At 46.8% G+C, this 26,736-nt stretch overlaps 1 protein-coding gene across 6 annotated transcripts in view, besides 2 other annotated features; it reads right to left on the bottom strand.

Moving 5' to 3' along the window:
- ABTB3 (ankyrin repeat and BTB domain containing 3) overlaps positions 1-26,736 on the bottom strand; it is a 341,209-nt gene that overhangs the window by 213,669 nt on the left and 100,804 nt on the right. The window lies entirely within an intron of this gene.
- Positions 3,745-3,904: an enhancer, noted in NCBI's record as "active region_6952". NCBI's record gives its function as "activates an Ori minimal core promoter by ATAC-STARR-seq in GM12878 lymphoblastoid cells {active_cell/tissue: GM12878}" and the evidence as "EXISTENCE:reporter gene assay evidence [ECO:0000049][PMID:35858748]".
- Positions 9,316-9,816: an enhancer, noted in NCBI's record as "H3K27ac hESC enhancer chr12:107829935-107830435 (GRCh37/hg19 assembly coordinates)". NCBI's record gives its function as "activates a minimal SCP1, AML or CMV promoter by ChIP-STARR-seq in primed H9 embryonic stem cells {active_cell/tissue: H9 hESC(primed)}" and the evidence as "EXISTENCE:reporter gene assay evidence [ECO:0000049][PMID:30033119]".

Raw genomic sequence — 26,736 nt, 5'->3', positions numbered from 1 at the left:
ATGTAATTACAAGGGTCTCTATAAAAGGGAGACAAGAGGGTCAGAGACAGAGGAGATGGGAAGACAGGGAGAGGGGAGAGGGGAGAGGGGAGAGGGGAGAGGGGAGAGGGAGATTTGGAGATGTTTGCTACTGGCCTTAAAGATGGAGGAAGAGGCCATAAGCCAAGGAATCTAAGTGGCCTTTATACGTTCAAAAAGACAAGGAGGTGGATTCTCCTGTAAGCCTCCAGAAGAAGTGCAGCTGACTTTCTACTGACACCTCGATTTTAGGGCTTCTGACCTCCAGAACTGTAAAATAATAAACTTGTGATCATTTGTTACAGCAGCAACAAAAAGCCTATAAACCATCCATCTCTCTTTGCTGAAACTTTCAGTGTTCTCTTCTCTGAGATGCCCTGAGCTCTCCTTCTTCTGTCAGTGCTGTTTGTATTAATACATTAGAGGTGTCTCTGGGCACCCACTCCCTGGGCACCACTCCTCAGCATGGCTCACAGGAGTGCTCAATAGCTGTTTAAAAAGTGAATAAACCAGTGAATAAATGCTAATTTATGAGTTTCTTGTGGGCGCTATTTCCGCATTACTCATTTTCATACCTTCAGTGGCTCATGTGGTGTGCCTGGCATATGGTAGGTGTGCAATAAATGCCTATTCAGTGAATGAATTTAGACTGTAAACTGCTTGAGGCCAAGGAACTGTCTTATTTATATCCTTGAATTCTCAGGGCCTAGCTTAGTGCCTTGGGATGGAGGTTTTGCTAAGTGCTTGTGGGTTGACAGCCAGAGCTAGTAGGATTAGACTTGACACATGATGACAATCAATACCTGTCCACTGAAAGATCTGCATAGAGACCTGAGCTTCAGCTGTGCAATTATCAGCAGCAGCGGAGCTAATTTAAGGAAGATGGGGCCCCAGGCTGGGGGGAGAGCCACGATCAGAGGCAAAGCGGTCAGCGATGCTGATTTCTAGGTCTGCAGCCCTGCCTCAGCCAGCTCCACGTGGACCTCTCCTGACTGGCCCCGCCGCATATCACAGGCCTGTCAGTCTTCCTTCTCTCTGGAGCACTCTGTGGTCCCCCTACCCTCCCAGCCTCTGAGGAGGCTTTGCTCCCTCTCATTCACACTTCAGCACCTCCCTAGGCCTCACGGGGGGCCTGACCTTAACTGCCCCGTTAGAAACAAATCCCATTTCCACACTGCCGATAAAATCTCCCTTTTATCCAAAAGGTTGAGTGCGTATTTTTGAAGTTTATTCATTTGCCAAACATCTTGGGGCACATCAATAAGTATGGATTTTGAAGACATGGTTAATTTCATCTCGAGCAGACCTGGGTTTGGGACTCCACCTCCCTTATGACTGCTCATGTGTGGTTTCTACAGCAAGTTACCAACTTCCCTTGATCTCAGTTTTCTCATACATAAAACAGGACTAATAACAGATCTACCTTGGAGAGCATTCTCTTCATTTGTTTATTTATTTATTCATAAATTTGACGATCTTTTTTCAGCATCTAGTCTATGCTAATAGCCACTGGGCTGGCCACTGAGCACAGTTAGGTGCTGGTCATAGGGTTAAAACAGGCCAGTGTCCCTAACAGGCCTAGCCAGGCCTGCCATACAGTGGGTGGTCAATGGACTGTGGCTTGTTTCATTGCCCCTTCTCTGTGTAGCCTGGGTTCTAACTTATATGCCAATGTACAGTTTAGAAAGCTAAGCCCCTCGGCTATGCTGTAGAAAGTGAAGAGTGAAGAGAAACCCTGGGTGGGGGACTGGCAGCACACCTCATCGCCATGCTCTGCTGTCCCAGCTTCTCTCTGCAGGACCCTGACCTTCCGCCAGCCTTCTTATCTCAAATTCCAGGGTTCCTGAGCCAATCAGGCTGTGGCTGGCCATTCTACCCACTCTCTAGTGGCCAGAACTGCAAGGTGGGGGAGGTTCCGTTCCTTTCCAGGTCTGGAGACTCGAAGCTGAGGCTCTGTGTTCATCTCTGGGTTTCTACCTGCTCCCCATCCTCATCTAGGTGACCCTGTCTGTAAGGCAAGGGTTCACAGGGCCTTTGGTCTTGAGTCTGTCTCAACACCTGGTGGAGCACCCACATTTCACAGTGACATCAAGAGTCAGTCCTTTCCGAGGGCAGGAGACTGGATGCAGCCATCCAGTGTCCCGACCAGGCTCCCCACGCTGTGCTCTCTGCCCTGTTGGGGTCTCCACCACCTCCTCTCAGACCTATTGGCACAGACTATAGCTTAGATTATGAACGTGGGCCTTAGATGCTGAGCATCTATTCCCAACACGACGCTCAGAGAGAAAAGCCAAAGTTCTTTCCAAGGCACTACAGACTCTTTGCAATCCAGACTTTAACACTTCTCTGACTGCATCTCCTATTCCCCTCCCCACATTTACTCTGCCATACTGCTGTCCCTGCTGTTCTTTAAACTCCTGCCACATGCCTACCTCAGGGCCTTTGCACTTGCTGTTCTCTCTGCTTGGAACACTCTTCCTTCACAAGTCCACCTGGCTTGCTCTCCTCCCCTCTTTCAGGTCTGGTGGACAAAGTCATGTGCTACCAAGGTCGCCTTCAAAACAAAGGAGGTACCTATCCAGCAGCAGGCTGTGCTGCCTCAGCTGTCAGCCTCCCTTAGGGACCGCCCCAAAGTGCTGGGATTACAGCCGTGAGCAACTGGTCCTGGCCCCTTTGCTTTTAAAAAAGCTAAAAAAAAAAAGGCCGCGCCATTTCATTCTCTTCAATTCCTTCTGAGCAAATGCATCCCACTCCCTTATAGATTTTTAATAGAACATGGCTGCTGCTATGCTATAAATGTCATGTCCTCCCCAAATTCCTATGTTGAAATCCTAACTCCAAAATGATGGTGTTAGGAGATGGGGCCCTTTGGGAGGTAATTAGGTCATGAGGATGGAGCCCTCATGAAGGGGATTAGTGCTGTTATAAAATAGGACTGAAAGAGACCCCTTGCCCCTTGCACCATAGGGGACACAGCAAGAAGGTGCGCTCTATGGACCAGGAAGCCGGCCTTCACCAGACACTGAATCTGCTGGTGCCTTGATCCTGGACTTCAGAATTGTGAGAAATAAACATTGTTTCTAAGCCACCCAGTTTATGCTATTTTGTTACAGCAGTCTGAGTGGACTAAGACAGCTGCCCTGGGAATGGAGCACACCAAGTCTGGGAAAGAAGATTCCAGGAGGCAAGCAGGCCAAGTCTCCCCACAACCCCCTTTCCTCCTCGAAGCTCCTTACTTAAGAGTCCCCCTGGGCCTCCAGGAAGCACAATTATCTAACAGGATTTTCATGCTTTAAGCTTTTCAGAAGTCCCTTACCACTAATCCTGGAACCATTACTAACTGGAAGGGAAAGAAAGGAAAAATGGAGGAAAGGAAAGAGCCCCACAAGCCTCTTTACTTACATCTCTGTTTCCTAACATTTTGGAGCCTGGTGAGGAAAAGCCATCCGATGTCAAGATATTCTGCCAAATAAATGTTATCCAGAGACATCAATCTTCCACATTTTGTGGTACACAATTAAACAAACGAAAAAATGTTCGGTTTCCAACAGGCAAAAAAGGAAACGAAATCTACAATCTTCTCTACTTGTCAGACACAAATTAGGTTATATCCTTGAAAGGAGGAAAGTTATTTGAGCCTATACTCTATTAAAATTCTAATAGGACCCGAATTACTCTGAAAACTTCTTGCTTAATTGAAAAAAAGATCCAAAGTAAAAACATTCATCCACTCACTCACTCATCTATACATTTAGCTAACGTTTACTGAGTGCCAGCCATGCACCCTGTGCTAGGCCCCGGAAATGCAGAGACTCGTCGCTGCCCTGAAGAATAAGAAAATGAAAGTGTTTCTCACAGTGTAGACCTAGGGTGTTTAAAAAACATTGATTCCAGGGCTGCGTGCCAGACTTACTAAAATCGCGTCTCTGGGAATGAAATCAGAATTCTGCATTCTAAGCACATACCCCAGATACCAGATGACACTTTTTTTTTCCTTTTTCCTTTTTCTTTTCTCTGAGACAGGGTCTAACTCTGTCACCTAGGCTGAAGTATAGTGGTGTGATCATGGCTCACTGCAGCCTCAACCTCCAGGGCTCAAGCAATCTTCCCACTTCAGCCTCCCAAGTAGCTGAGACTGTAGATGCACACCACCACACCCTGCTATTTTTTTTTTTTTTTTTGTAGAGACAAGTTCTCACTATATTGCCCAGGCTGGTCTTGAACTGCTGGGCTCAAGTGATCCTCCTACCTTGGTATCCCAAAGTGCTAGGATTTTAGGTGTGAGCCACTGTGTCTGGACCCCCCAGGTAACTTTTTTTTTTAAGTTTTAATTTTTATTTTAAGTTCTGGGGTACATATGCAGAATGTGCAGGTTTGTTCCACAGGTAAACGTGTGCCACGGTGGTTTGCTACACCTATCAACCCATCACCTAGGTATTAAGCCCAGCATGCATTAGCTATTTTTCCTGATGCTCTCCTCCCCACACCACATCTCCCAATAGGCCCCAGTATGTGTTGATCCCCTCCTTGTGTCGATGTGTTCTCATTCTTCAGCTCCCACTTATAAGTGAGGACATGCAGTGTTTGGTTTTCTGTTCCTGTGTTAGTTTGCTAAGGATAATGGCTTCCAGCTCCTTCCATGTCCCTGCAAAGCACATGATCTCATTCCTTTTTGTGGCTGCATAGTATTCCATGGTGTATATGTACCTCATTTTCTTTATCCAGTCTATCATTGATGGGCATTTGGGTTGATTCCATGTCTTTGCTAGTGTGAATAGTGCTGCAATGAATATGTGCGTGCGTGTGGCCACGTGACCCCCAGGTAATTCTTAGGCACTCTAAGATTTCGAGAATCACAGGCCCACCAACCCCACTGAAGCTGAGGCTGGGTCTGCCTCCTCCAGCACCAGGCTCGGGCATTTCAACTAGTCGGCTGACGTTGAGGACTGAACCCTAACCTCAACTCTGCCTACCTGTGTGATCTGAGCAAGTCACTTCCAGCTGGAGCCTCATATTCCTCATCTATAAAATGGGAGAAACGCTACAAACTTGCTAAGATTATTGTGAGAATGTAAAGATTATATATTTCATGCCCTTGGCCCAGGCAGTCATTCATGCAGCTGTTATCTTTATTGTCACATGGGTGGGCCTCGCCCCTTCCACTCACTTTCACTTTTTCTTCTTCTCTTTCATTTCCCTGCCTCCCTTCCATTTCCCTGCCTCCCTTCTTTCCTTCTTCCATCCCAGAATAATTACCATGTGACACGTAGGTTCCTGGTGCTGTATTAGGCAGCTGGGGAGTTGAAATGGGACCATCACAGGCTCGGTTCCAGGTCTGGGGAAGCATGCATTCTCAGGGGGAACAGTGCATCAAAACGCGTGAACAAACAAACAACTAATCAAGGCTGGGCTCACTTCTATGAATGAAATAAAGAAAGAGCCGAGAGAGAGAATAAGGGAGGGGCCCTAGCAAAGAGGCAGGGTAAGAAAGGCTTCTCTGAGGAGGCAGGTGCCCTTCTGAAGCAGGAAGGACGAGAAGGGTCAGCCCTGAGAAGGGCTTGGAGGTTAGAACCTTCCAGGCAGAAGCAGAAGCACGGGCAGATGCCCTGGGAAGTCGGCGTGAGCTTGGGGTGTCTGGGAAACTGAAAGAAGGTCCCTGTGGCTGTGTGGAGGACACCAAGGTGTGAACCTGGAGAGGGAAGCAGATGACACAGAACCCACAGAACCTTGTAAGCCTTACAAGCCAGGCAGTCTATGTCACGGACCCACACAGGCTCAGGGTGGATGCTGACCGCAGTGATGAAGTGGGCTTCAGGCCCACATGTGTCAGGGGTGAACCCTTCCCTGCTGGATTGTAAGGAGCGGCGGGGGGAGGTGTTCCCAGGTAATGAACCAGACAAGACTTCTAATAACCAGTATAGCCTTGCTAATGAATACCAGCTAAATATCAAGCCATCAAACAAGTCACATGTAGATATTTATATTTTATTCTAGGCACAATGGGAAGCCACTGATGAGTAAAGCAGCAGGGAATTAATACCAGCAGGTTGACATTTAAAAAGCTCACTCTTTTAGCAAATTTTAAGGATGCAACAAAACAAAACAAAACCCAATAGAAACAATAATGAAGGAAGTGGGAGGAAACTTTGAGAGGGGATGGGTATGTTTGTGGCCTTGATGGTGGTAATGATTTCACAGGTACATCCTTATCCCCAAACTCATTGAGATGTATATGTTACATACATACAGCTTTTCATATGTCAATCACTAAAAGAAAAAGCCCGTTCTGGTTACTGTGTGCAGATGAACCATAGAGGTCAGAGTGAAAGGAGGGACAGGGAGGAGGTCTCTGTGCTGGGCCGGGAGAAAAGAGGGAAGCTGAGAAGGGCAGGGGGAAGGAGAGGTGGGGTCATTAGGTGGAGCCTCAGCCCTACCTGTGTGGTTCCCAAGATACACTGGAGCCCCACCCCACAGATGGGCTCGGCATCCACACAGGCTCACTATAAGGGAATGGGTGGCCTGTGAATTCCAGGCAGCAACCAAGCCAGGTAGAGGTGAGATTTCTGACCTGTAGATGCCTGCCCTGGAGCAAGAGGACTGAGTCAAGAAGTGAGGAGCTGATTGGTCTGAGTGCTTCCTTCCTATTCCAAACACACCCACAGCTAAAGTTCAGACCCAGGTCCAGTCAAACCGAATGGCCAACCTTATCGTTAAGCCAGGCATGTCTGGCTAAGGTTAAATTCTAGAAGAAGAAAAAAAAAGCAGACAACTGAAGTGCTGTTATCTGCAAATTACAGCACCATTAAAGACGCGTGATTATTAGCACTTCATGTGTGTGGGTGACTGTCTTTACGTTCAAGCAACAGACAAACTGTTTGTTCTTCAAGAGACAAATGGTAGCCACACTTCCATGGCTGTTAACAACCAGAATAATAAAATAAAAGGGGTGAAGCCTTATGTTTGCAGAACACATTACCATTTGCTAATTGCCTAATATTGGCACAAGCAGGAGTGTTTTCTTCAGCTAAAGAGATATTAAATAATAATTTTTTGAATGGTCATGTAATTGCTTGGCATTAAAATTTATTGCACCTGGAGCAACTTCCCCCCAAGAGACAAGCAGCTGTAGCCTTCTGAAACTAGAATTTTTTTTTCCATCAGCATAATTGCTAAGAAGGATTTGGTGCTAACGCGTCCTTGCATCGCATCTTCAGCGCAAACTTTGGGGACGTTAAATTGAATGGCTCCAAGAACCTGAGAGGGGGAGTGAGGGCAACAACAGCAATTTATTGGTTAAGAAGAGAAAGGGAGAAGTTTTCAGATGGCTGATGTCTTTTATCTGCCGGAAGATGCGTTTCCAGAAAGCACAGATACTTGCATTTCCTGAGGATAAGGTATGGAACATGTAAAGAATATTCTAACGCCTCCTGAGGCTGCAGCACACAGGTTTCTGGTAGGCTCAGAGAGCAGCAAAGCAGGCAACGGGCTGTATTCACACACAGCTCCACCAGAATTAAACACCACATGCCACCTAAAAGAATCCATCCCGCAAGCTTCTGCAAGTGGATGGAAGACCATTTTTGAAAGGCAAACTTGTTTCTGTGGCCTGAAAACGCATGACTTGCAAACTATCCATTCTCAGTAGAATGGCTTATAGGTGATCTCTCCCACTATCTGTCAATGCATGAAAAAAGGGTGCAGTGTGAAACCCCCTCCCCACTCAGTCCTTCTCATTTCCAGAAAAGAACATCACATAGAGAGTTCACAGTGACTGTAACCCAGGGCAGGATCAGAGACACAGGGGTGACTCGATGCCTCGGCGCCTGGTTGTATCATCTTAGAGCTGATCTGGGCCCCGCTCAGGGTCTCTGGATCACCTTCAGATGGTCTCCCCATTAGAGAATATCCTCAGGAGAGACCGACTGAGGCCAGAGAAAAACAGGCAAAATGCAAATCAGTCTCTCTTGTTGAGACTTAGCAGCTCTGATCAAGAGCTGTTTGAAGGTGAGTCAAGGTCAAGAAAAGGCAAACCACCCCCACCCCCCAATACCCACTATAATAGGTTGAAGGGTGGCCTCGAAAAACAATATGTCCACATCCTAATCCCCAGAATGTGTGAATGTGACCTTATTCTGGGAGAGGGTCTTTGTGGATATAATTAATTAAATTAAAGATTTTGAGATTACCCAGGTGGGGCCCAAATCCAATGGCAATTATCTTTGTAAAAGAAAAGCAGGCTGGGCATGATGGCTCCGGCCGGGTGTGGTGGCTCACACCCGTGATTCCAGCACTTTGGGAGGCTAAGGCAGGTGGAGCACCCGAGGTCAAGAGTTTGAGACCAGCCTGGCCAACATGGTGAAACCCCGTCTTTACTAAAAAACAAATACAAAAATTAGCTAGATGTGGTGGCATACACCTGTAATCCCAGCTACTAGGGAGGCTGAAGTAGGAGAATCTCTTGAACCCAGGAGGCGGAGGTTGCAGTGAGCCAAGATCACGCCACTGTACTCCAGCCTGGGTGACAGAGTGAGACTCCATCTCAAAAAAAAAAAAAGAAAAAAGAAAAAGAAAAGCAGAGGGAGATTTGAGAGACAAGAGAGGAGGCAGTGTGACCATGGAGGCAGAAACTGGAGCAATGCCAGTGGCCCCAGAAGCTGAAAGAGGCAAAGAACTGGATGCTCTCCTGGAACCTCTGGAATGGGTGCTGCCTTGCTGACACCTTGACTTTGAGCTTCTGACCTCTGGAACTGTGTATGTTGGAATACATTTCTGTTGTTTTAAGCCACTGAGTTTGTGGTCATGTGTTACAACAGCCACGGGAAATGGACCCACATCATCAGAGGACATTAAGCTATGGAACACACCCATCCACAGCCCAGGCTTTCTCAAGAAGAACCCATGGGCCCCTAGGAGTTCAAGGATGACTCTTCTACTCCTGAAATCAGAGGTAAAATTCTGCATGACTGGGCACTCAAGCATTTTGGGGCAGGTGCGGCGGGGGGGGATGCAGAAGCGGGGAGAAAGTGTCCATAGCTTTCATCAGGCTCTCAAATGAGACCAGGACCCCCACAAAATATCAAACACCATAGAACTTCTCCACATTTTTTTTCTTACTGATCTATAATAGTTGCACATACTTTGGGGGTATGTGTTCCACAAAGATTTATAAAGCACCTATGACATGCTAGGTGCTCGGCTGTGCGCTAATAAGCAGAGCTGGCAGAAGTCCCACCATGCGCTGGGAAAATATACACAGAGAAACTCGCTCACCCTCTGGATACTGTGCCCACAAGGGCCACATTCCTTTAAGTCCTGAATGTGTTGGATCTGGCAGGTTATAGCAAGCAGGATAACCATTCTGGATGCTGAGTCACTCGCAGGCTTGCATATGTTGCCATGTGAAATCCTCACATCCTTAGAACATTCCAGAAATTCCAAAATGGCAGCCATACCCCTGACTGCCTGCCTCCCACAGAAGTGGCTCCAAATCCTCCTTTGACCACATGACTACATTAGTGGTATAGAAAACACAGCCCCAGAGTTCACTGCACTCACATGCATATCCCCAAGCCCAGCTTGTCACTCCCAGCATGGGTTGATTAGGCCTCTTAGGCATCTGTCACCTGATTCCCAGAAGGAACACAGAGACCGGTCAATAAGCTGCATGCGACCGGGATGGCGGGTCATTCCTGAATTCTCCCTCCTAGCACATCTGACCCCTTGGAGAGTCTTCAGTAGGTGCCTCCAGAATGCAGGAACATGACAATGTCCCCAACCCTTCTGCCATGGCTTAGGAAGAATCATAAAAACTCCTTGTTGGCAGATGTAGGGAACTGGGTACACGTGGGCTGTGCTGGTGGCACAGCCAGTGGGTTCTATTTTTGAGGAGGGTGCCCTGGAAATGCAGAGCAAGGGTTTAAAATGGTGTATAGCTGCAGTGTGCAATATGGCACCCACTAGTCAGGCATGGCTACTTAAATTATTCAAAATTTTAAAAAATTAAAAATTCAATTTCTCAGGCACACTTGCCCCATTTCAAGTATTAACAGCCACACGTGGCTAATAGCTGCTGTGTTGGACAGCACAGATACAGAACATTACCATCAGTGCAGAAAGTTCTACTGGATAAAACAGGGATAGGCCCTCTGGTCCTGTAATTCCACTTCAGGAATTACATCCCAAGGAAGTAATAAGGAAGAACAAAATATCCTGTATAGAGAGCACCATTTAAAGCAAGGGAAAGTTGGAAACATGCCAAATGCTTCTACATAGGAGACTAGCTAAGCAAGGGGTATCAGCTCAGGGAAAAAATAATGACCCTCTTATATCGTATATGTGTACTCATTCATTCATTCAACAAATAGTTACCTAGCACCTACTGTGTGCCAGGCCCTGCACCAACTGCATGAGACAGATGCCAAACAAGGCAGAGAAGTCCTCTGTCCTTACAGTACCTTCATCCCAGAGCAGAGAAGCAAGATTGTCAACAAGTAGATGAATGAATAAAGATCATTTCAAAATATGTTAAGTATGGTCAAAGCAACAAAAACCTTGAAGCCACAGAGAGTGACAGGTGGGAGAGAGTGCTGAGTAAAAGGTGTTCTCAGTGCACTGCTTCCCTAACCCTCTGAATGCCTCTGAAGGGCTCCTCCTACAGTGTGTGGATTAAAGTCAGGGCTGGGAATGTGCGTACTCAGTGTCAGCGTAAGCTGCAAGAGAAATGGTGGGTACGCACTGATTCTATTTCCATAAACACATGTGCCCACAGAGCAGCAACAATTGGAGGAGAACTCAGAGGCATGTATGTTTAATTAATGTTCTGCAAGGCTGGTTTTGGTTTGTTTTTGTAGCACTGATGCAGTTCAGTTTCAAAAAAGAAACCTCAGCTAAGCATAAACTGCTCCAAAATTAAAGCCAGGACAATGAGTGCATGAGGGACAAGGTGACTGCCTAGGGATGATGCTGTTAATACCCAAGAGGCAACTGGCCACCTCCTACGCTACCCTCCCTTGGAAGAATTAATTATTGTCTCCTCCATGTGCCTATCGGCCTTTAATCTGTTTTGTTGTTGTTGTTTTTTTTTTTTCCCAAGACAACAGGGTCTTGCTCTGTCACCCAGGCTGGAGTACAGTGGTGCAATCTTGGCTCATTGCAACCTCCACTTCCTGAGCTCAAGCGATCCTCCCACCTCAGCCTCTCAAGTAGCTGGGACCACAGGTGAACACCACCATGACCTGCTAATTTTTTAATTTTTTTGTAGAGACGGGGTCTCACTTCATTGCCCAGACTGGTCTCAAAGTCTTGGACTCAAGCAATCCTCCCGCCTCAGCCTCCCAAAGTGCTGGGATTACAGGCTGTCAGCCACTGCGCTCAGCCCAGCCTTTATTCTTAATGCAGATATAGTTCTCAGACATTGAATTATAGTTAGCTTGTAGCTCCTAGGTTTGCTTTCACTATTTCGATGGAGCATCTGAGTATGTGATGATTGCTATGAATGTAAAGAACAAGACAAAAGTCCTCCCTCAAGGGCTCACAGAGAAAGGCTGTAGCAGACGCTGTGGGTGTCTCGCCCACATGCCCTTGACTTACCACTTCAGTGCATGCCAGCTGACCTCCTACTGCCAGCACCTGCATTTCTTTACCTATCAGCCTTCTTGTGCCACCAGAGCCCACTTTGTGTGCCTGCTAGGGGCAGCTCCCAACCATAGACTGATGGAAGCTGGTGTATACATATCCCAGCTGTCTTGCCCTACAGGTGGGATAACTCTGAGACATGTGTTCTACACTGGCTACCAGTTTCCCTCGTGAGAATAAGCTTCAGTCACCCATGGTGGTCAGTGTTCAAATATGCCTGTGTCCTGCAAATTCCACAGGTTGAAATTCTAACCCACAATGTGATGGTGTGAGGAGATGGAGCCTTTAGCAGATGATCAGGTCATGAGGATGGAGCCCTCATGAATGAGATGAGTGTCCCCATAAAATGGACCCCAGAGAGCTCTTTAGCTCTTCCACCATGTGAGGGCAGGACAAGAAGTTGGCAGGCTGAAACCTAGAAGAGGGCCCTGGCTAGAACCCGACTGATCCCTGATCTTGGACTTCCAGCCTCCATTACTGTGTAACACAGGTTTCTGTTGTTTATAAGCCACCTAGTCAATGGTACTTTGTTATAGCGGCCAGAACAGAGTAAGACAGCTGGCTTGCTAGCACCCCTTTATTGGCTATCTTAGTTTTCTTGACTCACTTCCCCACTCCTCTACCATCACCTCCCACATAATTCTAGAGCTTACATCTTTGCTTAGATTCTGCTTCTGGGGCAAAACCAACCTAAGACAATGGCCTACCCTGCTGAAGGCTGTTGTGAGGATGCAGAGAGGAGAACATACCTGACACACGCAGAGTGGCACTCAGCAAATCCACTTCCCTTCCCATGGGGGCTGCTCCTTCCTCAGTGGTTCTTCTGTTCCCAGGGCCACCTTGCTTGTCAAGCTCTGCAAGCTCTGGAACGCCCATGTCATGCTCTACTCTTTTCCCAATAGCTGCTTGGGTAATTACAATTCCAAATTATAACTCATCTTTATGGTTTGAATAAATCCAACAAACCCCCTTGCCTCCTCCCTCTGCTCTTCTTGTCTTTTTTTTTTTTTTTTTTTTTTTTTTTTGAGACGGAGTCTCGCTCTGTCGCCCAGGCCGGACTGCGGACTGCAGTGGCGCAATCTCGGCTCACTGCAAGCTCCGCTTCCCGGGTTCACGCCATTCTCCTGCCTCAGCCTCCCGAGTAGCTGGGACTACAGGCGCCCGCCACCGCGCCCGGCTAATTTTTTTTTTTGTATTTTTAGTAGAGACGGGGTTTCACCTTGTTAGCCAGGATGGTCTCGATCTCCTGACCTCAAGATCCACCCGCCTCGGCCTCCCAAAGTGCTGGGATTACAGGCGTGAGCCACCGCGCCCGGCCACTCTTCTTGTCTTGAATGTGTTAACCCTGCCCTGCCGTGAAGAAGAAGCAGGCAAATAGGTGTGTGCTTGTTAATGAGTGGGCTGTGGAGAAGGAAGCTTTTCACAACACAATCTCGTTAAGAATGATCAACCAGAGCATAGGTCTCAAATTGAAACGTGCCTTAGAACCTCGGGGGGAGCTTGTTATAAAATGTCTATAACTGAGCCTCTCCTATACAGATTCTGACACTGGAAGTCTGTACGGAGACCAGGAATTTGCATTTTTAGCAACTTCCCCATAGTACACACTTAGAGAAACACATTCTTCTTGTTCTTCTTGACCTGCACTGTTGTTCACTTGCCCATGGCCTGAATCAGAGTAAACTCCCATCCATTCATCCTCTCAACATCTCTTATTAGACACCTCCTCTGTCCCAAGCCATGAAGCTAGGCACTGGCACCACCATAAATATTTGTCAAATGAAAAAATGGCCCATATCTGCTACTTTCAGTGCACTGGGAACCAGCTCTAAACACTTAGTAGGTCCTCAAAGAAGACTTCAGGAAAGCCAGGGCATCCCTAAGGTAGAGAAGGGAGGTTGGTTTCTTCGAAGGAGCTGACAGGCCTGTCTCACTGAGGACTCAATAACTTTATGGTGACCTGGAGAGGTAAAAATGTACCACAGTGTCTTTACACAAAATCAGCTCATAATCCATTTCCCTCTTTCCTTCTCTCCCAATTCCATCAGTGTCCTCAGGCCTCAGAGTAACCTTTGACCTTTAGGGCTTTCCACTGTCAGTATCACCTGGCTACACCAGGAAGGAAGAAGTGGGTGGAGGGAGGTCATACACGCTCTGTGTTGTGCCAAACCCATATTAACCTCAATAGGGTTAGACAGGAAAACCTCCTTATACACAGAAATGGCCCTGTGGCTGTGGGCTGGACAACATAACCACATAGCCAAGCAGCAGTCTGCTGGGCAGAAAAACTGCAACCTCTTGCAAACAGCATGCAGTAAATAAAGCATTTTTACTTAACACCCTCCCCTTAATGACCTCCACCTGCAAACTTCATTTAACCCCCTCCAAACTCAGGGCCTCAATTCCCTGGACGGCCCATGTTCCATGGGCCAGGCCGGGGCCTCAGATGTTCCTTACAGACAAGGAAGAAATCTCCGAGTTAGCCACTCCCGGATTCCCTAGCTGGGAACACACATTCAGGTGCATCTGCCATACAGGGTCATCCTCAGGGTATGCTAAAGTTACTGCTATTAGGTACATTTACCCTATGCTAGGGATGTATTTGGCCACATGGCCCTGATTAACATACATGCTGCCCCCACCCCACAAAAGTCACAGTTTGCAGTTCTTTGGATTAACTTTTTTTGGGGGCGGGTGCGGGGGCGGGTAGTGGGGACAGAGTCTTGCTCTTGTTGGCCAGGCTGGAGTGCAATGGTGCAATCTCGGCTCACTGCAACCTCCGCCGCCCAGGTTTAAGCAATTCTCCTGCCTCAGCCTCCTGAGTAGCTGGGATTACAGACATGCGCCACCACGCCCGGCTAATTTTTGTATTTTTGGTAGAGACAGGGTTTCACCATGTTGGCCAGGCTGGTCTCGAACTCCTGACCTCATGATCTGCCTGCCTTGGCCTCCCAAAGTGCTGGGATTACAGGTGTGAGGCACCATGCCTGGCCTGGATTGACTTTTTAAAGTACCTACTATGTATCAGACCTCCTGGGAGTGCAGAGGTGGCTAGGCCAAGCCTGCTCATGGAATGGAATTAGTGTTTTCATTTGTATTTTGCCACTGACTAGTAAGCATTTAACAAGAACAGAAATCAAATTGAATGAGACCTTTTCTCAGCACAGAATCATAACCCCCACCTGGGTCTAACAGGCTTCACCTTAGATTCATCCAGGTCACACAAGACCCTGATGCATTTACTAGAAATACTTGGAAAAAGCACAAACATGTGCCTGTTCTCATGTTTCTGATGAGTATTTCTGTGAATAGAGAGCCAGAAAGATTTCCATTTATTTTATAAAGTAAACATAATCTTTAAATCATATGCAGTGGTGTGTTTTAAAAATTGTAAGTGTTGACTAAGAAGAGTTTGTTCTAATAATAAAAAGTGGTTAATATTAGGAAATTAATACTATAGTTCAATCATACTGATCAAAGGAGATGAGCAATTATCTTTGAATATGACAGAAGGTATTTCATAATCTGCTTTAATATTTAAAAAATGAAGAGCACAACACATTAATATTATGGGAACATCTCTCTAATAATCAACATCATACTTACTGGTGAAACACTAGAGATATTTCCACTAAAGTCAGGCACAAGAAATAGGGACGTATCGCCATTATTTTTTAACACTATTCTGGAAGGTACAGCCAATACATTGAGAAAGGGATGGACGGACGGATGGATAGACAGATGGATAAATGAAAGACAACTATTAGAAAGAAGGGGCCCAAATCATGATTATATGTAGGTGTGGTGATAGTCAACCTTGAAAGCCAAGAGTGTGGGAAAATGAGTATTCTTAAACACTGATTATTAGAGTATAAATTGTACAGAATTTTCAAGAGTAAGACTGAAACAACAAACATCAAAAGCAAAGGTGTTTTTCACACATTTTAATCCAGTAGTTGCACACCTAGAAATGTCTTCAGAAAGTAATCTGCGATGCCTGGGCAAATGTCATGTTCAAAAATATTCAACATGATGCTATTTATAAAAGCACAAAAGCAGTAACAATCTAAATGTCCAACAAAAGGGGACTGGGTAAATACATTATGATTTTTCTAGGAGAGAGATGGAATATAAGACAGTATTTTAAAATCATATTTTAGGTGAATAATACTTATTGCAAGAAAGAGGTCATGATATACTACCAACTGAAAAAAGAACAATACAAACAGTATGCATAGCATAATATGAATTTGTAAATTATAGCTTTAAGCATAGAAAACAGACCAGAAAGGTTCACACACAAATACCAAAGGTGATTATCTTGGTGTTTGTGGTATCTGTTCTTCATGCTTATTAGTAAATAATTAGAACATAAAACATGCTATTTAAAAATAAGTTGATGCAATGTTTACAAGAGGTAAGGCTGCAAAGTCTGTCTCAAGTGCTGCCTGCTATGCTTGTTACAGCCACTCTTGTATCTCAAAAGGTCACATCCGCAATGGATACCAATGTCAGACATTGCAAAGCCTATCCACAGAACACTGACAGGTTAACATTGTTTTTTCTGTATTATGGCTCATTTGGACCATGCATATCTGTGAATTAAAACCAGAGCTACGCATTCATAAAGCAGACTATCTTGTGTGCAGAGCCCTGGAGAAAACGAATCCATTGAGTCAAACCTCTCAGAACCCACCATTCACCCACTGGCAGCTAGTAGACTTTCAAGAATCAGCAGCTTCTGTGCAGCTGACCTTGCAATTCGAACCTGGCAGGTGAGGACAAATGCCCAAGAGCCCAGCCCATAGTGGGAGGAACCATTTGGCTCAGGTGAGCAAATGTGACAGCTGTGACTCACTGCACACTCGATTTCCCTACATCCCAGTGAAGAGAGCTGAGCAGGAAAGAAAATGAAAATTTTAAATTGACAGGGGTGGAGAAGTGTGGTCGACCAGTTTTCCAGGCTGATGGCAGTGTGGCTTTTCATCTCAAGCTCAGAGGCAAAAGATATAGTGGGCTACCTATATGCAAGCCCTGGGACAGCTATAGCCAAGGGTCAGCTTGGCAGTTGGTCCTACCCATTTCGCAGGCTCTGCCCAAGCTGGAACAGAACTGACTCAACTCAGAAGCAGAGCAGACAAGGAGAGAATGGATGCCTGCCAGCTGCTGCTAACAGAAGCCCAGCACTTTCTGTGCGTTAAGCCAGAGAAACAAGCCCCAACCTTCACACTCACCTCACAGAACAAGTCCTCCTAATTTAAGGATGCTTCCTTTCCTCTCTCCCTCTCTTTCCCCTGGACCTTCCTCCCCTACCTGCCCTAGATGCTTAGACTGGCAGCTTGGTGAAGCAATATGGCAGCTACGTGCCTTTGAACAAACCTCATCGCCTCTCTCGGCCTCCATTTTTTCATCTGTAGAAGAGGAATGATAGCAGCACCCACCTCACTGGGATGCTGTGAGGATTAAGTGACATGACGAGTGCTGCTGGCCTATCACGGTGCCTGGCACCGAGCAGACGCTCAATAAATGTTAGACTTTACTATTTTAATTGGATTTTGCCTCTTCACAGTGTGTGGAATTTTAGTTTGGACTTTCCCCAATAGCAAACCCTGGGGCAGGGATTTGGTTGTAAGTTTTTGATCTGGAAGGCACAGCAAGGGAGTGGGGAGTGCAAGAGAAAGAGCAGAGAGCTAATCAAGGATGCTTTAATGAGAAGGTTACCACTATCAGTATTGGGGCTCAGTCTTGCTGGGACCCTCTGAGAGGCTGTGGAGCACCCCTCAGAACTGTCCCACCAAGGAGGTGAGGGTGCGGATGCTGGGATGTTTATTCCTTAACTCGCATCCTTCATTGGTGGAGGGGTGCTCCTGGGGTGTTAACTTCCCAATACTTTGAGCCTTCCCAGGTGAGGCTGAACATGCTCCAGGGGCCCGAGGACATCCAGGGCAGGACATCCAAGGCAGAAAGATACAGGGGATGGCCAAGGACATGCTGGGGAACTGGCAGCATATGTTATGGTGCATGAGATGGTGTCAGACAATGTGATCCTGGATGCTGACCATGTACAAATCTAGGAGCCCTTTCAGGGCTTAGCCAGGTAAGCTGGTCCTCCTTACTCCTTTTATTCATTTGTCCATTTCTTCTGTCTTTCAACCAGCCATTCAACAAGCATCTATTGAGCACCTACTGACTGCTGTGTGCCAGACACTGCGAGAGATGCTGCGAGAGTCAAAGAGCAAGGATCTGGGTTTTGGGAGGCGGCAAGTGGCTTGGCAGGGCTGGACCTGGGATGCATGAGGAGATGAGGTGGAAACAAGGAGGGCAAGGCGTTTAAGGCTGTTCTGGGGGATTCTGACTTGTGTGCAAAGGTGCTAACATGCTGGGAATACACCAGGCTAAGCCCTGAAATGGCTCCCAGATTTTGACGTGGTCAGCATCCAGGGAACACATGAGCTCATACCACCTCACCCACTGTCACAGATGCATGTGGCAAATGCTCAATCCATTTTGACGGTCAGCATTAAACTTTGATCATAAGCCACTGAGAACCATCATAGATTTCTAATGAGAGAAGTAGCGAGTATTTTGGAAAATGGCTGTGACAGGCTGAGTAATGGCACCCCAATGATGAACTAATCTCCGGAACTCGTGTCACCTTACATGGCAGAAGAGACTCTGCAGATGTGATCAATTCAGGATCTTGAGATGGGAAGATTATCCTGTATTATCTGAGTAGGCCCAAGGTAATCACAAGCGTGCTTATAAGAGGGACACAGAGCCAGGCACCGTGGCTCACACCCATGATCTCAGTACTTTGGGAGGTGGTAGAATCGCTTCAGAATAGCAAGACCCCATGTCTACAAAAAATAAAAAATTAGCCAGGCATGTTGCACACATCTGTTGTCCCAACTACTCGGGAGGTTGAGGCGGGAGGGTGGTTTGTGCCCAGGAATTCAGGACTGCAGTGAGCCGTGATTGTGCCACTACACTCCAGCCTGGGCAACAGAGCAAGATCCTGTTTCTTTAAAAAAAAAAAAATAGGGACACAGGAGGGTCAGAAGTCAGAGAGAAGGCAACGTGATGATGGAAGAAGAGAATGGAGTGGTGCACCCACAAGCCAAGGAATGCCAGCAGCCTCTAGAAGCTGGAAGAGGCAAGGAAGGGTTTCCCCTGGAGCCTCCAAAAGGAGCCAGCTCTGCTGCCACTTTGACTTTAGCCCCAGAAGCCTCATTTTGGGCTTCTGACCTCCATGACCATAGGAGAAGACATCTGTGTTGCTTTGAGCCACAAAGTTTATGGTAATTTGCTATAGCAGCAACAGGACAACTAATACAATGGCTCTTGGGGCAGTGGGGGGTGAAAATGGATGAAATTGAAAAAAGCAGGAGAATAAGGGGGCTACTGCCAGGTCACAGGTGATGGTGACTCAAGGGAAGGCAGTAGCAGTGGGCGTGGGGAAGGTGGATGAAATAGAGAGGACTTAAGAGGACAGAATCCCCAGGACTTGGCAGAGGTGGGAGAGGAGGGGAGGGGAGAGGCAGAGATGTGGCTTGGGTGGCCGGGCAGATGGCAGCAGAGGGGAGGCCAGGCTGAGGTGCAGGACATTTGCTGGCTGGTGTCAAGGCAGTGCCGACCTTCACCCTCCATAAAGGCTGCCTTTCTTCACAGCCTGACTCTCAGCAAGGCCAGTGCATGCCAATGAGCTAATCAGTAAACCCAAACGTGGTCAAGATGTGCAAGAGACCCAGGTGGGGCGCTGCAGAGGACATCTGGATGTTGCTGGGGTGACTCCAGAAAGGAAGGGGAGAGGAGTCGGGTTGAGTGAGCAGGAAGAGAGGCCAGCAGCACCCTCGATCGTGACCCTGCCACAGCAGCCAGGGAGCCCACTCCAGGCCTCGGGCTAGAACCATCCATGCACAGATTCCTGGGCTGTGTCCCATCGGGGATGCAGAGGGCAGCCCAATGGGCTGGGCTCTGCACTGACTCACAGCAGGCTCACAGCCACTGTTGCAGGCTTGCCGTCCGTCCACCCCTCCCCTCCTTGTCCGCATCGATCTACCTTGGGCCTGCCTAGACACAATGGGGCCAGCGGGCCACTACTTGTCCTTAATCATTCTAAACTGCTCCAAAAAGAGGGACACGGCACCGCTGTGAAGTGCTGATGGCACAAAATTGGAGAGAATAGTAAATAAAAAGGAAACACCCAGGAGAGGAGTCGAAAAGGAGATGCCAGCATTTATGCAACTAGGCCAGAGCTCTGTGAGTCCCCCTTGCTGGGGGTGGGAGGGAGGGAGGCCAGGAAGCCCGTGCTAGAAATGCAAATGCCTTCTGTAGCCGCAGAACAGATCCAGATCTGCAGAAGGCTGAACTCCAAACGACTCAGAAGGCTGTGATGGATGGTCGAACCCAACTGGGTGGAGGCTTTCCCCCTTCTCCAGAATGTGGGACTTGAAAGGTTACAACCTCCCAGAAAGACAAGGGTAGGGGAGGATTGGCACCAACTGAGCATCACCACGTGCCTGGCCGTGTGCTAGCTGCAGAAGATGGAGCTTAAGGAGCTCATAGGCCGCTGGGTTCACAGGCATGGAAATAAATGAGTGTAGTGAAGTTCTGGGAGTGATCTGATAAGATCTGAATGAAATATGGTAGGCATGGGGCCACCATTAAAAAAGCGGTCTGGTTTTCACCCGGGAGGTCCATGAAAGTCTTTACAAAAGGAGCAATTCTTTGAGTTTGTTTAATCGAGGCAAAATTCATATAATACAAAATTAACCCTTTTAAGGTGCAATTCTTTGAGTTTGTTTAATCTAGGCAAAATCATATAATACAAAAATTAACCCTTTTAAGGTGAACAGTCTAGTTTAGTACATTTAGTACATTCACAGTTTTGTGCAATCCTCACCCTATCTAATTCCAAAACATTTTCCTCACCCCACAAGGAAATCTGTTCCAATTAAGTCGTTGCTTAATTCATCCATATGGTAGGTATCAGGACTTCATTCCTTTTAATGTTTAGATAATAGAGGAGGTGATTCTTGAGCTAATTTTGAAAAATAAGGAAGTATTACGTGTGCAATCCAGGAGACAAAGGGAAAATGGCACTCCGGTGGAGGGGCTGGCATTGGCAAACGCATGGAAGCACGAACCATGAGGTCAGCATGGCAGGGCCGTGGACTGTCGAGAGATAAAGCCGGGAAGGCAGACAGGGCCTGGTCTGCTAAGGAGTTTGGGGCACTATGCTTAGGTAATGGGAGCCATGGCAGGCAATCGAGGGTGTGAGATGACCGGGTCTGGATTTTAGAAAAGATGTTGTGTCCGCAGCATGGACCACTGGAGTGGGGAGACCAGTTAGACAGCTACTAGGAGGGACAGGGCCAAGGCAGGAGCAGAGGAACACAGAGGGAGGACTGGCCATAAATACGTTAATCAGGCAAACCTAACAGGCGTGGCCCATTCACCCTGCATGTGAAAGTGGCAGATATGCAGGAGTTCAGGTGAGGAGCTGGGAGGAGCTAGCTTGGTGTGTGGCAATGTGGGGAGATGAGTGCTAGGTTTTAGGGTTCTGAGGGTCATCTAGGTGGACCCTTCCAGCAACAGCTGGGTGGTATACAGGTCTGGGTCAGGAGAGGAGTCTGGGCTGAAAAGAGTTTTGACTCTTCCTTCCTTTTTTCCTTACAGCACCTCATAAAGTGCATGTCATTCCCAGTCTACAGCTGAGAAAATGGAAACTCAGAAAGATGGAGCCACGCATTCAAAGCCACACCTCTAATAAGTAGCAGAGCTGGGGCTCAAACCCATCCTTGGCTGATTCCAAAGCCTCAGGGCTTTTCATTAAACCAAGCAGCCTTTTAAATTCTTTCACTGCATCTTCCTCTCTACTCTCGATCCTGAATCCACTCCGCATCTCCAAGGGAGAAGGAATATGGGCCTGAATGGACCACAGAGCAGCAATTCTGCCACCTTGATGTTTACCTGCAGTGGGTGAGGGGTAGAGAAAGGAGAAAAAGGCAGGGGACACTGTTTTCCTAGTAAACACTTCGAATTTCCAAGGATGCACTGGAGAAGCGCTGAACCTGAATTAGACCCCAGGGTCTCCAGGATGAAGCCGCCACTGATAAGGTAACCAGGGAGACGACCCCAGGGTGGAGAATCTGAACTGGTTTTTTATTTGTTTTTTGTTGTTGTTATTGTTGTTTTTCACACCACTTAAGTGCCCGCTCTGGCTTCTCAAGGTAATGGCATTAGCTGAGTCCTCCCACGTCACGTGGCACAGCTTATGGTGCCATGGTGGGTAGGAAGATGCAAGTTAACAATTTCATGGGCAAATTTGGGGCTTTGGGAATCTTCTTAACTGACAAGACTAAATCAGCCCCAGAGGCAAACAAAACTCAGGCAAGTACAAAACTATCCAAAGAAAACAACTCAGGGAAGTGAGCAGATGTCACTGAAAGCAAGAGAGGTAGTGGAGGAACTGTTACTTCAATGAAGCAAAACCAGCGTCTTCTCAGTGTTTCTTTAAATGAGTCTGGCTTGCATTCTCAAGGCCAAACAGCCCACACTGCTGAGGGACAGGCCTGGAGTGGTATCAGCTTGTCACCAAACTTTTGTCTGAATAATTCAGTGTGACTCAGCTATCCTTTTTTAGCAGAAAGCCTGATGTCCAGGGTCATTTGGCATCACGGGCTCCAAATCGGGACCTCTGTGCAACGTCCCCTGCTTTTTCTCATCACCAACCTCTCTCCTCCCGGCCCCACACACCACACCACCCTGCACCATCAATGTCCCACTTCTCCATCCTCCTTACACAATAGCTGGATACAGTGTGCTCTCCTGTCTGAATGGGAGAAATACTGTACGACTTTCCGCTCTCTCAGTGCTCTTCAGGTGGTTAGAGAACATGTGACTGTCAGCTTTTCAGGTTCACCTTCCTTTTCTTGGCATGGAGATACTGTGTTCTGCAGCTAGATAATGTGTGGCGAAGCACTCTGAAAATGGGTATCAAGCACATTGTAGTTCTCTTTGCTACAATTACATTTTATGTCTATGTGAAAGCATACTTTGTGACAAGAAAAAATGAGAAGGCAGAATTCTCACTTATTGAAAAAATTCTTATTATCCTCAGGTAGTATACATTGATTATTTTTGCCTACATAGTATTCGTTTTTCTCCCTCCTAGTAATGCACAACTTTAGGGGGGAAGGGACACTTCTCTGCCACCACTCCCGATTCCAGATTGAGCACACAAGAAGGCTTGGTCAAGCTGTGTATTCTATTTTCTTGGACAGAGTGATTGTGTCAGAAAAGGGCAGGTAACATAAGGTAGATGAACCATCAGTTCTGTTGAAACTATAGAGGAAGAAATATTCTTTCCCCATGGCAATTGATATCCATAAGCTTTGTGTCAGCTTAGAGCTGCTGGGGGCTACATGTGAGAAATGGAACCAAGATAAGAGAGAAGGCTAAATTCTGAAGATATAATTTGCAATCCTGGAACCAACTATGCCTGAAACTCATCTATGGCTTGACTGTTCAGTTACAGGAGCCAGTGTGAGTTGGGTTTCTGCTCTTATAAGCAAGAGTCCTAATTAATACAACCTAGTATAGTGCTTTGCACAAAAGAGGCATAAGAAGTTATCTCCTCATTCAATCTGTTAGCAAATCTTGGCAGATCTGCCTGCAAAATAGATCCCAAATCTTGCCAACTTCTCATCACCTCCACTGCTGCCATCAAGGTCCAAGCCATCAAGATCTCTCACCTAAACAACTGTGAAAGTCTCCTCTTGGTCTCACTGTTTCCCTCTTATCTTTCTACAGCCTATTCTCCACTTAGCAGACTGGCAGAATTATTCCTTTAAAGCCTAATGCAGACCATGTCACTCTTCTGCTTGGAACCATGCATTCAAAGTGGGCTCCCATTCCATTTTGGATAAAATCCAAAGACTTTCTGCAACCTGTAGGGCCTCATCATGGCCTGTAAGGCCTTGCAGATCTGGCCCATCTCCCTCTCTGACCCATCTCCCTCTCTGACCCATCTTCCATCACTCTTGTCCTCGCTCACTCAGCCCTGGCCATGCTGGCCTTGCTTATATCATGTCCATTCTCATGTTAGGAACTTCACGCTTGTTCCTTCCTCCATCTAGATTCCTCTCCCCCAGTATCTTCCTGGATCCCTCTCTTTGCTCAAATTTTACCTCCTCGAGACCCCTCCTTGACTATCCCATTGAAAGTAGCTCCCCAAACCTATCTACCTCCCAGCCTTTCTTTTCTCTATAGCATTTTCTATTACCTGACATTACATTATATATTTTTTTCTTTGTACTTTGTCTTCCCCACTAGAGTATAAGTTCCCTCAGGCCAAGGACTCTGTCTCTTGTTCACTGCTGTAGCTCAGTGTCCAGAAGAGTGCCGGGCACACCATAGGTGCTCAGTAAGTATTTGTCGAGAGCCTGAGTAAATGCTAAATATGTAATTACCGGCCTTGGGCAAATGGAGGCCTTTCTGGTCCATCAGTTTCTCCATCTGCACAATGAAGAGATTGGATGAGATCCATGGTCTTCAAAGATCAGCTCACCTCTAGGCCGAAGTGGAAGGCGCAGGGGGTACTTTGAGCCTACTTCCCTGCTTTGACTGAGCAGCCCAACTTTTATTTCTGTATAGTGGGGTTCCAGAGAAGAAATAAAGTGGACCCCTGTCAAAGGTGGCTTATATCGTTTACCGAACAATTCAGTGCTAGGCCTAGAAATGCATGATTTCCTTTTCTCTGAAGCATTTCAGCACTTTTTATATTTTCTCTTAGCAGAAGAGCTTTGCAGGCTTTTTCTCTTTGCCTTAAATTCTAAGAAAGTCTAAGCAGATTCTCTTTCTCGTCATTAAAGAGGCACAGAGCGGGTGCTCCCTTCTGGCACCAATATATTATCTGGTCAGTACTTGCCATCCCTCTCAGCTGTGGAAGGTCCCAGCAGAGAAGTCCACGTGCTGTGGGTATTTAAAGGAAATCCCTTCTGTCTACTTCACTTAGTAACAGATCTCTCCTTTTTCTTTACCTCATGCAATTTGGAGAAAGTGGCAACTCGCTCTAAAACTACAGAGATGTTCAATTTAAACAGGAAGAGAAAAATCAATCCATGTATGAGGCTAATTAAAAAGCCTCTCAGTAGGACTGTGTTTCTTGCCTATTCTTGCACCTTCTCTTGGAGACAAAATTTTTCTCGATAGACTCAGCACATTGAGAAATGTATGTGGAAAAAGAAAAGCCTCAAACAATAATCCTTCAGTAGACTTCCTCTCTACTGAAACCTCTCTACTCTTTTATAACAGCTTAGAAAGTTGGTAGAAGAGATATGAAAATTTGGAACCAAGGCTTGTGTCAGCTGAATAGTAATGATTCGGGCAGCTCCCTTGGAAAATACCTACATTTAGGGGCAGGAAGAAAAATAGAAAGCAGGAGACAGAAGGAAGCAGTGGGATGGGGTAGTGTCCTCTACATACTTAAAGTCAATACTCAGCTGGGTCTTTTAATCCCCAGGGTGCAGAAAAGCTTCTGAAGGTGAGAGTCGAGTAAACTGCCTGAGTCCCACAACTAAGGCAGTGATGAGCTTGTGATTCTAATCCAGGCCTAAAGTCAGGGCTGTTTCCAGCACAATGTGCTGCCTCTCAGAAGATCTAGTAACATATCAAAGAAGCCAAATGATGTGGTTTGGCTGTGTCCCCACCCAAATCTCATCTTGAATTGTAGCTCCCATAATCCCTACATGTCATGGGAGGGACCTGATGGGAGGTAATTGAATCATGGGGGTGGGTTTTACCCGTGCTGTTCTCATGATAGTGAATAAGTCTGATATGATTAATGGTTTTATAAAGGCAGTTCTCCTGCACATGCTCTCTTGCCTGCTGCCATGTAAGACATGCCTTTGCTCTTCCTTTGCCTTACGCCATGATTGTGAGGCCTCCCCCGCCATGTGAAACCGTTAGTCCATTAAACCTCGATTTCTTTATAAATTACCCAGTCTCAGGTATTTCTTCATAGCAGTATGAAAATGGACTAATACACCAAGAATGCAGAAGGGTTTAGGAGAGATGGTGTGGTCAACTCTCAAGTGGATCAGAAAGATCAAGAAGGACATCATCGGAAATCCCCCCACTGGATGTATAAACTGAGGTCCCTGAGAGAGCAGTTTCAGAGGAGTAACGAGGACCCTTGCTTTGGGTTTGACTCTCATGTGGGGAAAAAAGGTGCAGGGCCATCTTTCCAACGTGCACATCTGCTGAAAACCCTTCACTGGTTCCCCACTGCCAACCTCTCAACTTGGCCTACAAGGTCTTCTAGTGACTCCTCCACCACCATTTCCTTTTTCATTCCTCAAACATCACACTTGATCCATACCACTCCGCCTGGGCTTTCCCAGGTCACAGTGCTGTGTCTGGCATTGGTTCATGCTGCTCCCTCTGCTAGGCATGCTCTTCACCTAACTCTGGTTCCTGTGGCATGTGTGTAAGAAAGCTGTCTGAAACTTCGAATCAAGGTTAGCAAGTCTGGGCTGAAATTAACGATGAGGACGATCATGTAAATAACTAACATTCATTGAGTACTTCCTATGCCAGGTCTAAGTATTCTTCCTGTATTAACTCATTCCATCCTAATAACCATCCTATGTGGTACAGTGCCATTATTTTATAGGTGAGAAGCCAAGGCACAGAGGGGTTAAGCAGCTGGGGGTAACAGGAGACAGAGAGCGGCTGTAGACAAAGTGCTCCAAACAGTTGTCTCAGAGGAGGTAGCATTTACCCTGAAGACCTGAATGAGGAGAGTGAAGTGGTCATGGGAATATTAGGGGTTGGAGAGAATGATCCAAGCAGATCAAACAGCAACTGCAAACATCCAGAGGCAGGAATCAATTGACTGGTCCTGGGAGGGTCTGGAGAGGCAGGCAGGCAGAGGCCAGATCATGGAAGGATTCTCAGGCCATGAAAAGGAGTCTGGGCTTATTCTAAGTGCTCCACTTGCATAGACCCAGCAGGTCAGTGCCTGGAGGGATAGAATGCAAGAGGAGAAGGTCACAGAACAAACATGTCTCCCTCATAGGC

The sequence above is a fragment of the Homo sapiens genome, chromosome 12 (genome assembly GCF_000001405.40).
Source record: "Homo sapiens chromosome 12, GRCh38.p14 Primary Assembly".
In the NCBI taxonomy this organism is placed as follows: Eukaryota; Metazoa; Chordata; class Mammalia; order Primates; family Hominidae; genus Homo; species Homo sapiens.
The sequence above is the reverse complement of the archived record's forward strand: the minus strand, read 5'-3'. Positions and strand labels throughout refer to the sequence as shown.